General features: G+C 42.6%; 1 protein-coding gene across 12 annotated transcripts in view, besides 3 other annotated features; it reads right to left on the reverse strand.

Annotated features, from left to right (window-relative positions):
* Positions 1 to 507: 507 nt before the first annotated feature.
* Positions 508 to 12677, reverse strand: part of MAP3K19 (mitogen-activated protein kinase kinase kinase 19) — an 82957-nt gene continuing 70787 nt past the window's right edge. For all 12 annotated transcript variants that reach the window (XM_017005005.3, XM_017005004.3, NM_025052.5 and 9 more), the window contains one exon: positions 508 to 933. In XM_017005005.3, coding sequence (XP_016860494.1) covers positions 867 to 933 — 67 coding nt within the window. In that variant the 3' untranslated portion in view covers positions 508 to 866. The remainder of the gene's footprint in view (positions 934 to 12677) is intronic.
* Positions 9843 to 9892: a silencer, noted in NCBI's record as "silent region_11980". NCBI's record gives its function as "represses an Ori minimal core promoter by ATAC-STARR-seq in GM12878 lymphoblastoid cells {active_cell/tissue: GM12878}" and the evidence as "EXISTENCE:reporter gene assay evidence [ECO:0000049][PMID:35858748]".
* Positions 11228 to 11729: an enhancer, noted in NCBI's record as "H3K4me1 hESC enhancer chr2:135732781-135733282 (GRCh37/hg19 assembly coordinates)". NCBI's record gives its function as "activates a minimal SCP1, AML or CMV promoter by ChIP-STARR-seq in primed H9 embryonic stem cells {active_cell/tissue: H9 hESC(primed)}" and the evidence as "EXISTENCE:reporter gene assay evidence [ECO:0000049][PMID:30033119]".
* Positions 11730 to 12229: an enhancer, noted in NCBI's record as "H3K4me1 hESC enhancer chr2:135733283-135733782 (GRCh37/hg19 assembly coordinates)". NCBI's record gives its function as "activates a minimal SCP1, AML or CMV promoter by ChIP-STARR-seq in primed H9 embryonic stem cells {active_cell/tissue: H9 hESC(primed)}" and the evidence as "EXISTENCE:reporter gene assay evidence [ECO:0000049][PMID:30033119]".

Here is a 12677-nt window from a genome sequence, read left to right on the forward strand (position 1 = left end):
CATCCATGCTCACTTTTGTGAGGTCTACTAATGTTCTGGGAATGGCAGTATTTGAAGGATGACCTCAGCAGAGGTAACTATTCAAATGAAATGAGCAAAGGTCTGTGGAAAAATCATCCTTCCCTTACCAGACCTAGCTTTTGTCCTACCAGCTGATTTAGACTTAGCTAGTTCTGCATATGGAAATGACCTGATTCACTGCAAATAGATTAAAAACTTCAAATCACTACAAATAAATTACAGAGAAAAGAGCCCAAGGTTTATGATGCCGCCTTAACTAGCACAATTTCTCAGAGACATCTGAGGAGTTTGGGGGCCCTCTGATAATGAAATGCCGAGGCCCTCACCTCCTCCCTATTAGGCCTTGAGCCTCCTAGAATCTTTTAGGCTAAGATTGCTGCCAAAGTACAGAATCTAGAATCTCTTTAACTTACCTTCCTGCCTTCCTCTGCTCTGCTTTGGACGAATTAAGTAAGCATCTTTACTCACCAAGCAAGAAAATATAAGTTGTTTTTACAATTTATTTTAAACTAACAACATTAAAATTGACAGGACAGGCCAAAAATAAAAAGAAATGTCATATAAAACAATAGAGAATGTAGTTCCTGGACAATCAAAACTGTAAACACTGAAATAGTTTTTTGTTGTTATTAAGAACATGTTTTCTGATACTATGAGTAATAATGTCTGACACTTGAGGAGGCTAATATGTAACTGCAACTTTCAGTTAATGACTCCATAGGATCTGCTTAAACTGGGTTAGACTGAATTTTCAGTGGGGAAACAAAGATCCCTTAGCCATCATTCCCCACAATTAAGCAAGGGAGCATCTGCAGTGGAACTGGGAAGAAAGTCTTGATGTATATTCAGTGACTTCTCTCCAAGAAGGAGTGCTTCAGGAGCTGGAGAGCAGAAGGTCGCTCATGCTGGTCCCTAAGAAGGGAAAAACACATTAGAAGCAGCAGCACTCAGTAATGAGACTGCCAATGTAGATCTACTTAAATGTGAACTTTTAAAGACGGAAATACAACTTCTGATAGTCAAACAGACTTGGGTTGAGTCCAGTCTCCAATTTTTAGCTGTGTGACCTTAAGCTAAGTGACTAAAACTCTCTTCATCAGTAAGATGGAGATAACAATAATACCTAACTCATTGGGAGAATTAAATAATATATATACAACTTTTAAACAATAGCATGGTACTTGTTTGAAAAGTGGTAGCTATTGTGATTGAAAACTAGGCCCTACTTTCCCATTGTACTTTTGTGCAATTTGTTTGGAGTCTAATTTACGTATGGTAAAATTCACACTTACATTTACTTTTAAAATTCAGAAGCATTAAAATCCAGAATTGAAAACCTTTTAAAATAGATATTCAAATATGCTTTGGTGATTAATTGAAATAATCCCGTTTTGGGCACTCCTGGATTAACGTAAGATAGAGGGAGACAGTTGTTCAGTACTATTGTGGCATAGTTTTTTTCTTCAAGAAATTCAAAAGATTTTAGAAAGGTATCAGTCAATGAGCCAGTTAATGAACCAATGAGCTAATGAAATAGTCAATGATTAGCTGCAATGGCCTATTCCAGAGGCATTCTTTTGGTTAAATTGGCCATCTTTTGATTTTTTTTTCAGATACATAAATATTTATTAAGGCTTTAACAACCAGGTAACTTCCCCTACCCGCTACATTGTGCAACCACTTTCTTTATTGATATATAATGAGTATTTGTCATTTCTATGTGTCAGGAACACTTCAAGTCCTCTCTTCTAGCTATTTGAAATACAGAATACATTGTTGTTAATTACAGTCACCCTGCTCTGTTATCAAACATTAGAACTTACTCCTTCTATCTAATTATGTACCCATTAACCAACCTCTTTTTATCCTCCCTGCCCCACCACATACACACCCTTCCCAGCCTCTGATAACTATCATTCTACTCTCTACTTCCATGAGATCTACTTTCGTAGCTCCCACATAAGAGAGAACGTGGTATTTGTCTTGCTGGGCCTGGCTTATTTTACTTAAGATAAAGAACTCCAGATCCATCTCTGTTGCTGAAAATGATAAGACTTCATTTTTTTTATGGCTGAGTAGCATTCTGTTGTGCATATATACTAAGTTTTCTTTATCTATTCATCTGTTGAGGGACACTTAGGTGGATCCATACCTTTGTTATTGTGAATAGTGCTGCAATAAGCATGAGGATGCAGGTATCCCTTAGAGATAATGATTTTCTTTCCTTTGGATAAATACTCAGTAGGAGGATTGCTGGATCACACGGCAGGTAGTTCTATTTTTAGTTTTTTGGGGTTTTTTTGAGAAATCTCCATACTGTTTTCCATAATGGCTGTATTAATTTACATTCACACCCAACAGTACGTGAGTTTCCTTATCTACACATTCTTGCCAGCATCTGTTATTTTTGTGGGTTTTTTTTAATATTTATAAGTGATATATTTTCCCATAATAAAAGATGAAAATTAAAGCAGTTGGATGTTTAAAAAGAAAAGAAAGAAGTGAAGAATACACACCAGCTTTCTCCTGATTAGAGGAAGAGCCCCAAAGCTTCTACGGGCACTCACTTTTCTTCTTCTTGCATTATTATGAGGAAATCCTTAGAGGTTGGGAACTTGGGTGACTTTGGCTAATGAGGAGCTCTGTGCCTTGAGCCCCCCAGGCCACAGAATAGTAAATAGTCAGTCTGTGCCTCCAGCCCTGCAGTGTGAGGTTGCAGTCCTGTGGGCTCCACAGACATCTCCTGTATCAGGAGGCTCATGTCTTACCCTGTCTTCTTGCCAGCCTCGAGGACGGAGTCTGAGCCTCCATGGTGCACCACGCAGGGAGGACAGTGGACCTGTTCTCCATGGTCATGGCCCAGCGGAGGGGAAGGGCAGTTCAGTGAGTGTAGGCTAAAGAAAGAGCAATCAGACTCTTACTGTGTCTATGTAGAAAGGAAAGACATAAGAGACTCCATTTTGAAAAAGGCCTGTACTTTCAACAATTTCTTTGCTGAGATGTTGTTAATCTGTAGCTTTGCCCCAGTCACTTTGAACAAACCACTTTGACCCAACCTGAAGCTCACAAAAGCATGTGTTGTATGAAATCAAGGTTTAAGGGATCTAGGGCTGTGCAGGATGCGCCTTGCTAACAAGATGTTTCCAAGCAGTATACTTGGTAAAAGTCATCGCCACTCCCCAGTCTCAATAAATCAGGGGCAACATACACTGTGGAAAGCCTCAGGGAGCTCTGCCCTTGAAAGCGCCGTATTGTCCAAAGTTTCTCCCCATGTGATAGTCTGAAAAGTGGCCTCATGGGATGAGAAAGACCTGAGCGTCCCCGAGCCCGACACCAGTAAAGGGTCTGGCTGAGGTGGATTAGTCAAAGAGGAAATCCTCTTGCAGTTGAGAGAGAGGAAGGCCGCTGCATCCTGCCTGCCCGTGGGAACTGAATGTATCGGTATAAAACCTGATTGTACATTTGTTCAGTTCTGAGATGGGAGAAAAACCGCCCTATGGTGGGAGGTGAGACATGTTTGCAGCAATGCTGCCTTGTTATTCTTTACTCCACTGAGATGTTTGGGTGGAGAGAAACATAAATCTTGCTTAGAGACACGTCCAGTCATAGTACCTTCCCTTGAACTTCCTTATGACTTAGATTGTATTGCTCACATGTTCGTTGCTGACTTTCTCCTTATTATCACCTTGCCCTCCTACTACATTCCTTTTTGCTAAAATAATAAAAATAATAATCAATAAAAACTGAGGGAACTCAGGGGCCTGTGCCTGTTCAGATCCTTGGTATGCTGAGCGCCGGTCCCCTAGGCCCACTGTTGTTTCTCCATACTTTGTCTCTGTGTCTTCTTTCTTTCTTTTTTTTTTTTTTATTTTTTATTGATCATTCTTGGGTGTTTCTCGCAGAGGGGGATTTGGCAGGGTCATAGGACAATAGTGGAGGGAAGGTCAGCAGATAAACAAGTGAACAAAGGTCTCTGGTTTTCCTAGGCAGAGGACCCTGCGGCCTTCCGCAGTGTTTGTGTCCCTGGGTACTTGAGATTAGGGAATGGTGATGACTCCCAACGAGCATGCTGCCTTCAAGCATCTGTTCAACAAAGCACATCTTGCACCGCCCCTAATCCATTTAACCCTGAGTGGACACAGCACATGTTTCAGAGAGCACAGGGTTGGGGGTAAGGTCACAGATCAACAGCATCCCAAGGCAGAAGAATTTTTCTTAGTACAGAACAAAATGAAAAGTCTCCCATGTATACTTCTTTCTACACAGACACGGCAACCATCCGATTTCTCAGTCTTTTCCCCACCTTTCCCCCGTTTCTATTCCACAAAACCGCCATTGTCATCATGGCCCGTTCTCAATGAGCTGTTGGGTACACCTCCCAGACGGGGTGGTGGCCGGGCAGAGGGGCTCCTCACATCCCAGTAGGGGCGGCCGGGCAGAGGCGCCCCTCACCTCCCGGATGGGGTGGCTGGCCGGGCGGGGGGCTGACCCCCCACCTCCCTCCCGGACGGGGTGGCTGCCGGGCGGAGACGCTCCTCACTTCCCAGACGGGGTGGCTGCCGGGCGGAGGGGCTCCTCACTTCTCAGACGGGGCGGTTGCCAGGCAGAGGGTCTCCTCACTTCTCAGACGGGGCGGCCGGGCAGAGACGCTCCTCACCTCCCAGACGGGGTCGCGGCCGGGCAGAGGCGCTCCTTACATCCCAGATGGGGCGGCAGGGCAGAGGCGGTCCCCACATCTCAGACGATGGGCGGCCGGGCAGAGACGCTCCTCACCTCCTAGATGTGATGGCGGCTGGGAAGAGGCGCTCCTCACTTCCTAGATGGGATGGCGGCTGGGCAGAGACGCTCCTCACTTTCCAGACTGGGCAGCCAGGCAGAGGGGCTCCTCACATCCCAGACGATGGGCGGCCAGGCAGAGACGCTCCTCACTTCCCAGAAGGGGTGGCGGCCGGGCAGAGGCTGCAATCTGGGCATTTTGGGAGGCCAAGGCAGGCTGCTGGGAGGTGGAGGTTGTAGCGAACCGGGATCACGCCGCTGCACTCCAGCCTGGGCACCATTGAGCACTGAGTGAACGAGACTCCGTCTGCAATCCCGGCACCTTGGGAGGCTGAGGCTGGCGGATCACTCGCGGTTAGGAGCTGGAGACCGGCCCAGCCAACACAGCGAAACCCCGTCTCCACCAAAAAAAAATACGAAAACCAGTCAGGTGTGGCGGCGCGTGCCTGTAATCGCAGGCACTCGGCAGGCTGAGGCAGGAGAATCAGGCAGGGAGGTTGCAGTGAGCCGAGATGGCAGCAGTACAGTCCAGCTTCAGCTCGGCATCAGAGGGAGACCGTGGAAAGAGAGGGAGAGGGAGACCGTGGGGAGAGGGAGACGAGAGGGAGAGGGAAAGGGAGAGGGAGAGCTTTTGTGTGTTTTTAATAGTAGTCATTTTAACTGGGATAAGATGGTAGGTATCTCTTGGTGGTTTTAATTTGCATTTCCTTGTTGATTAGTGATGTTGAGCATTTCTTCATATACCTGTGGGCTATTTGTGTCTTCTTTTGAGATATGTTTCTTGTTGGATGAACATTTTGCAAATATTTTCTCCCATTCAACAGGTCGTCTCTTCACACTGTGCTTTCCTTTACCTTAAAAGCACAGGTGACAAAACCAAAAATAGACAAATGGAACTATATATTAAAGAGCTTCTGCACAGACCAATAACCTGGAGTGTTTCCCTATGTTTTCTTCTAGTAATTTTATAGTTTTGAGTCTTATGTTTAGGTATTTAATCAATTTTGAGTTGATTTTTGTATATGGTGAGATAGGGGTCTAACTTCGTTCATCTGCATATGAATATGCACCATATATTGAAGAGGGTGTCAATTCCCCAGTATATGTTCTTGGTCCCTTTGTCAAAAATAAGTTGGTTTACATATGGGGACTTATTTCTGGGTTCTCTACTCTGTTCTATTGGTTTATGTGTCTATTTTTACACCAATACCATGCTGTTTGGTTACTGTAGCCTTGTAATATATTTTGTATATATTTTCTGTATATTTTGAAGTGACATAGTGTGATGCCTCCAGCTTTGTTCTTTTTGTTTAGTATTGCTTTGGCTCTTTGAGCTCCTTTTTGGTTCCACACAAATTTTAGGATTGTTTTGTATATATTTCTGTGAAAAATTACATTGGTATTTTTGCATTGAATCCATAAATAACTTTGGTTAGTATGACCACTTTAACAATATTGATTCTTGTGACCCATGAGCATTTGTTTGTGTCTTCAATTTTTTTCATCAATGTTTTGTAGTTTTCCTTGTAGAGGTCTTTCACCTCCTTGGTTACATTTGTTCCCAGGTATTTTATTTTATTTTTGTAGCCATTTTAAATGGGATTGCCTTCTTGATTTCTTTTTCAGCTACTTCATTGTTGGTATATAGAAACACAACAAATTTTCGTATGTTAATTTTGTATCCTGCAACTTTACTGAATCTTTACTGAATCGATCTAAGAGTTTTTTGGTGGAGTCTTTAGGTTTTTCTAGATATAAGATCACGTCATCTGCAAAGAGGCACTGTTTGGCTTTCTCTTTTCCAGTTTGAATGCCTTTTTTTTTTTTTTTTTTTTTAGATGGAGTCTCACTCTGTCGCCCAGGCTGGAGTGCAGTGGTGCGATCTCAGCTCACTGCAAGCTCCACCTCCCGGGTTCATGCCATTCTCCTGCCTCAGCCTCCTGAGTAGCTGGGACTACAGGTGCCCGCCACCACACCTGGCTAATTTTTTGTATTTTTAGTAGAGATGGGGTTTCACTGTGTTAGCCAGGATGGTCTCGATTTTCTGACCTCATGATCTGCCTGCCTTAGCCCCACAAAGTGCTGGGATTACAGGCATGAGCCACTGCGCCCAGCCTGAATGCCTTTTATTCTTTCTCTTGCCTAATCACTCTGGCTAGAACTTCCAATACTATGTTGAATAGGAGCGGTGAAAGTTGGCATCCTTCTCTTGTTCCAGTTCTAAGAAGAAAGGCTTTCACCTTTTCCCCATTCTGTATGATGTTAGCTGTGGGTTTGTCATATATGGCCTATTATATTGAGGTATGTTCTTTCTATGCCTAGTTTGTTGATAGTTTTTATCACAAAGGGATGTTGGATTTTAGAAAATGTCTTTTCTGTTTCTATTGAGATGGTCATATTGTTTTTGTCCTTCATTCTGTTAATGTGATGTATCATGTTTATTGATTTGTGCATGTTAAACCATCCTTGCATCACTAGTATAAAACTCACTTGATTATGGTGTATTATCTTTTTGATGTGCTGTTGGGTTAGGTTTGCTAGTATTTTGTTCAGGAATTTTGTATCTGTGTTCATCAAGGATACTGGCCTATAGTTTTCTTTTTTTGTGGTTTTCGCATCCTTGTCTGGTTTTGGTATCAGGGTAATGCTGGCTTCATTGAATGAGTTAGGGAGAATTCCTTCCTTCTCAATTTTTTGGAATAGTTGGAGGATAACTGGTGTTAGTTCTTCTTTATGAGTTTGGTAGAATATGGCAGTGAAGCCATCCAGTCCTGGGCTTTTCTTTGTTAGGAGATATTTTATTACTGATTCAATCTTATTGCTCATTATTGGTCTGTTCAGGTTCTCTATTTCTTCCTGACTCAGTCTTGTATGTGTCCAGGAATTTATCCATTTCCTCTAGGTTTTCCATTTTGTTAGCTTATATTTGTTCATAATGTTCTCTGGTGGGTTTTTTCATTTCTGTGGTATTAGTTGTTATGTCTCCTTTTTTGTTTCTGATTTTTATTTCAGTCATCTCTCTTTTTTTTCTTGGTTAGTCTAGCTAGCAGTTTATTGATTTTATTTTTTTTTTAACCAACTTCTCATTTCACTGATCCTTTGTATTTTTTTCTGTATTTCATTTAATGCTACTCTGACCTTTATTACTTTTCTATTGATTTTTATATTTTTTTATTTTTAATTTTTGTAGGTACATGGTGTATATATTTATGGGGTACATGAGATGTTTTGATACAGGCATGCAATGTCAAATAATTACATCATGGAGAATGGGGTATCCATCCTCTCAAGCATTTATCCTTTGTGTTACAAACAATCTAATTACACTCTTTTAATTATTTTAAAATGTACAATTAAGTTATTAATGACTATTGTCTCCCTGATGTTCTATCAAATGGTAGGTCTTATTCAAGCTTTCTATTTTTTTTTTAATCCATTAACCATCCCTATCTGCCCTACTCCTATCCTCCTACTATCATTCCCAGCCTCTGGTAACCATCCTTCTACTCTCTATGTTAATGAATTTAATTGTTTTTATTTTTAGATCCCACAAATAAGTGAGGACATGCAATGTTTGTCTTTCTGATCCTGGTTTATTTCACTTAACATAATCTGATCTTTATTTCTTTTTTTCTACTAATTTGGGGTTTGGTTTGTTCCCTTTTTCTTCTGTTTCCTTGATTATTTATTTAAATTTTTATACTTTTTTAAAAGGTCACCCCATCTGGAATGCAATGGTGCAATCATGGCTTACTGCAGTCTCGAACTCTTGGGTTCAAGCAATCCTCCCACCCTAGCCTACCAAGTGACCTAGCTAGCTAATTTTTTTTTTTTCTTTTTGAGACAAGGTCTCACATTGCTACCCAGGCTGGTCTTGAACTCTTGGCTTCAAGTGATCCTCCCACCTTGGCCTCCCACAGTGTTGGGATTACAGGTGTAAGCCACCATGCCCAGCCAATCTTCATACATTTTTGATGTAGGCTTTTATTGCTATAAACCTCCCTCTTAGCACTGCTTTTACTATGTCACATAGATTTGGGTATGTTGTGTTTTGATTTTCATTTGTTTTGAGAAATTTTTTAATTTTCTTCTTAATTTCTTTCTTGCCCCAGTAGCCATTCAGGAACATGTTGTTTAGTTTCCATGTATTTATACAGTTTCCAAAGTTCCTCTTGTTATTGATTTCTAGTTTTATTCCATTGTGGCTGAAAGAATACTTGGTATGATTTTGATTTTTAAAAATTTGTTGAAACTTGTTTTGCAGCCTAATGTATGGCCTATCCTGGAAAATGTTCCATGTTTTAATGGGAACATTTATTCTGCCATTGTTGGAGAAAATATTCTGTAGGTATCTGTTGTGTCTGTTTGGTTTAAAGTGCAATTTAAATCCAGGTTTCTCTATTGATGTTTTGTTTAGATGATCTGCTTAATGTTGAGAGTGGGGTGTTAAAGTCCCCATCTATGATTGTATTAGAGTTTATCTCTCTCTTCAGATCTAATAATATTTGCTTCATATACCTGGGTGCTCTGGTGCAGGGTGCATCAGAACTGTTACATCCTCTGGCTGAATTTTTCTCTTTATCATTATATAGTGACTTTGTCTCTTTTTACTGTTTTTGACATAAAGTGTGTTTTATCTGATATGAATATAGCTACTCATGCTCTCTATTGGTTTCTATTTGCATGAACTATCTTTTTCCATCCTTTCACTTTCAGTCTATATGTGTCTTTACAGGTAAAGTGAGTTTCTTGAAAGCAGTATATTTTTGGGTCACTTTTTAAAAATCTATTCAGCCATTTTAATTGGAAATTTTAATCCATTTATGTTCTTATTCCTGTCATTTTGTTGATTGTTTTCTGGTTGGTTTGTTTGTTTGTTTGTTTGTTTCTTTCTTTCTTTCTCTCTTGTTATTTATCATTGTGGTTTGGTGGTTTTCTGTAGTGTTAACGTTTGAGTCCTTTCTCTACCTCTTTTGTGTGGTTTCCTCTACCTGTGAGTTTTACACTTTCATATGTTTTCATGATGATAGATATGACCTTTCACTTCCAGGTGTAGGACTTTCTTAAGCATTTCTTGTAGGGCCACTAATGGTGATGAAGTCTCTCAGTTTTTGCATGTCTGTGAAAGACTTTCTCCATTTTTGAAGGATAACTTTGCTGAGTATAGCATTCTTGGCTGACAGTTTTGTTTTGTTTTTATGCCTTTCAAAACTTTTTTTTTTGTTTGTTTGTTTTTTTGAGATGGAGTTTTGCTGTTGTTGCCCAGGCTAGAGTGCAAAGGCACAATCTCGGCTCACTGCACCCTCCACCTCCCAGGTTCAAGCAATTCTCCTGTCTCAGCCTCCAGAGTAGCTGGGATTACAGGCATGTACCACCACACCTGGGCAATTTTGTATTTTTAGTAGAGATGGATTTTCTCCATGTTGGTCAGGCTGGTCTCAAACTCCCGACTTTAGGTGATCCACCCACTTCAGCCTTCCAAAGTGCTGGGATTACAGGTGCGAGCCACTATGCCTGGCCTAAAACTTTTAATATATTATCTCATTCTCTCCTGGCCTGTAAGATTTCTGCTGATAAATCCACTGTTAGTCTGATGGGGGTTCTTTTATACATTACTAGATGTTTTTCTTTTGCTGTTCTTAGAATTTTCTCTTTGTCTTTGACTTTTGACAGTTTGACTACAATGTACCCTGGAGAAGACCTTTCTAGGTTGTATCTATTTGTGGATCTCTTAGCTTCCTGTATCTGGATGTTTAAATCTCTTGCTAGACCTGGGAAAGTTTCAACTATTCTGTCTTTAAATAGATTTTCTATACCTTTGGTCTTCTCTTCACCTTCTGGAACAATCAAAATTGTATATCTGGCCAATTTATAGTTTCCTACATGTCATGTAGGCTTTGTTCACTCTTTTTTTTCTTTATTTTTGTCTGAATGGGTTATTTCAAAAGATCTGTATTCAAGTCCTGAGATTCTTTCTCCTGCTTGATGTAGTCTATTGTCGAAGCTCTTGAATGAATTGGCACATGTGGTATAACAGTCACTTCTTTTAAATTTTTGGATTGGCTTTCATAAGGGAAGACTCTTTCCTGAAGATGTATCTATGGTGTTGATTGGGTAGGATGCTTTAGCTTTGATCCTGGGTGTATGCAGTAGTGTGGTCTTAGTATAATTTCTTCAGCTGTAAACAGCGCCAGTGGTGTCTGTGATTTCCTCAGCGGCTAAGTCTGTGATTGTTAGTGGAGTCTGTGGTGAGGTTTTGCTGGGGATTGGTATGCCAGGTGGGCCAGTCCTTTAGCCTGAGTGGTAGCAGTGGTGTGTCAAGCATGCCCATCCTTGGGCCCCTGGGTGACATACATGGGCACTAGTGTTAGTGGGTTCAAATGAGCCAATTCTTGGGCCTCCAAGGCTTGCTCAGGTCCTGGTAGTGGCAGTGGTGTGCTGGGTGGGTGGATAGGTCCTTAGACTCCTGGGCAGCATGCATGGCATGGGCAATGGCAATAGTGGTACTGGGATAATGCTTGGGCTCCATAGCAGCAGGCACTGGTGTTAATAGTGGCTGCAATGGGCTGGATGGGCCGGTCCTCAGGTCCTCATGAGGAATGTACAGATACCAGCAGTGATAGGGCAGAGAATCCCCAGGCCCCAGGCAATGTGCTCAGACACCGGCAGGGCTGCTGGGCCAGGCTTGGTTGACCTTTCCTCAGGCCCTCCAGTGGTACACGCAGGGGTCAGCAGTAGTGGGCAGGGTGGGGTGATCCCCAGGGCCCTGGCATGATGATTGGGTGGCTGCAGCTCCGGTGGTGGTGGGCAAGGGGAGCCTGTCATTAGGGCATGTGCAAGTGTGCTATAGCCCTGCTACTGGTGGAAGCAGAGTTGCCGTCAGTGGCAGCAGCTTCAGGCAGGTGGCTCTCAGGTTCCAGGGAGCTCATGGTTTGGCTTCTGGTGGTGGCAGCAGCTGCAGCCAAGAAAGCCAGTCCTCAGGGCACATGCAAATGTGCTGCAACCCTGTTGCTGAAGCGGGTGGGGTCACTGCCAGTGGCACACACTTCAGCCTAAGCAGAAGCTGCAGTGGACAGCAGCAGAGTCTGTCCTCAGAGCATGTGTGTGGCAGCCCTGCTGCTAGAAAGGGTGGGGTTGCTATCTGTAATAGCCACCTCAGGTAGGCAGTTCTTAGGCACTGGGGAGCACATGCTTTGGCTCCCTTTGTCCCAGGAGCAGCCTCCCTGGTGCGCTGCACTGTTGTTTCTGGGGTGCAGGACACCATGTGTGCTACAATGCTGGGGATCTGGCCACTCCACTGGGTACAACTGGCATCACACTGCTGCAGCCCTCCAGGTAAACACAAGAAGATGTAAGTAGGGTTCCAAGGATATGGAGTTGCAGGGGCTGTTGGACCCCAGGGCGGGATGGAGTCTGGTGGGGGCTGGACTCTCAAAATGGTGCCATGCTGTAGCTGCTTAGGACTCAGGTGTGAGCTCCCTCTCCGGAGCAATGCTGTCACATGGTTTCCAGGCAGCTCCATATTCTAGTCTCAGTGTCTGCAAGGACTAAAGGGTTCTCCCATGGCTAGGATTGCAGGAGTTCACTGTGAGAATGTGGACCACTGAGGATCTCTCACCCTTTCCCCACACTAGGGAGGCTCTCTGGGCTCTCGGCCAATCTCAACCAAACTGACTGTCTTCCTTTCCTTTTCTTCCATGTCTCAGGTGTTTCCTGTAACTTCTCTGTTGAAATCCAGTGTTCTCTCTCAGATGCTATATTTGAAATGTGCTTATCTACTTGCTATTTTAGTTCTTTGTGGAGGAAGTAAGTGCCAGATGTCTCTAGTCAGCCATCTTGAAGCCCCTCCTCTTTTAATAATTTTGAAAGCACAATGGCCA

The sequence above is a fragment of the Homo sapiens genome, chromosome 2 (assembly GCF_000001405.40).
Source record: "Homo sapiens chromosome 2, GRCh38.p14 Primary Assembly".
NCBI classification, from domain to species: domain Eukaryota; kingdom Metazoa; phylum Chordata; class Mammalia; order Primates; family Hominidae; genus Homo; species Homo sapiens.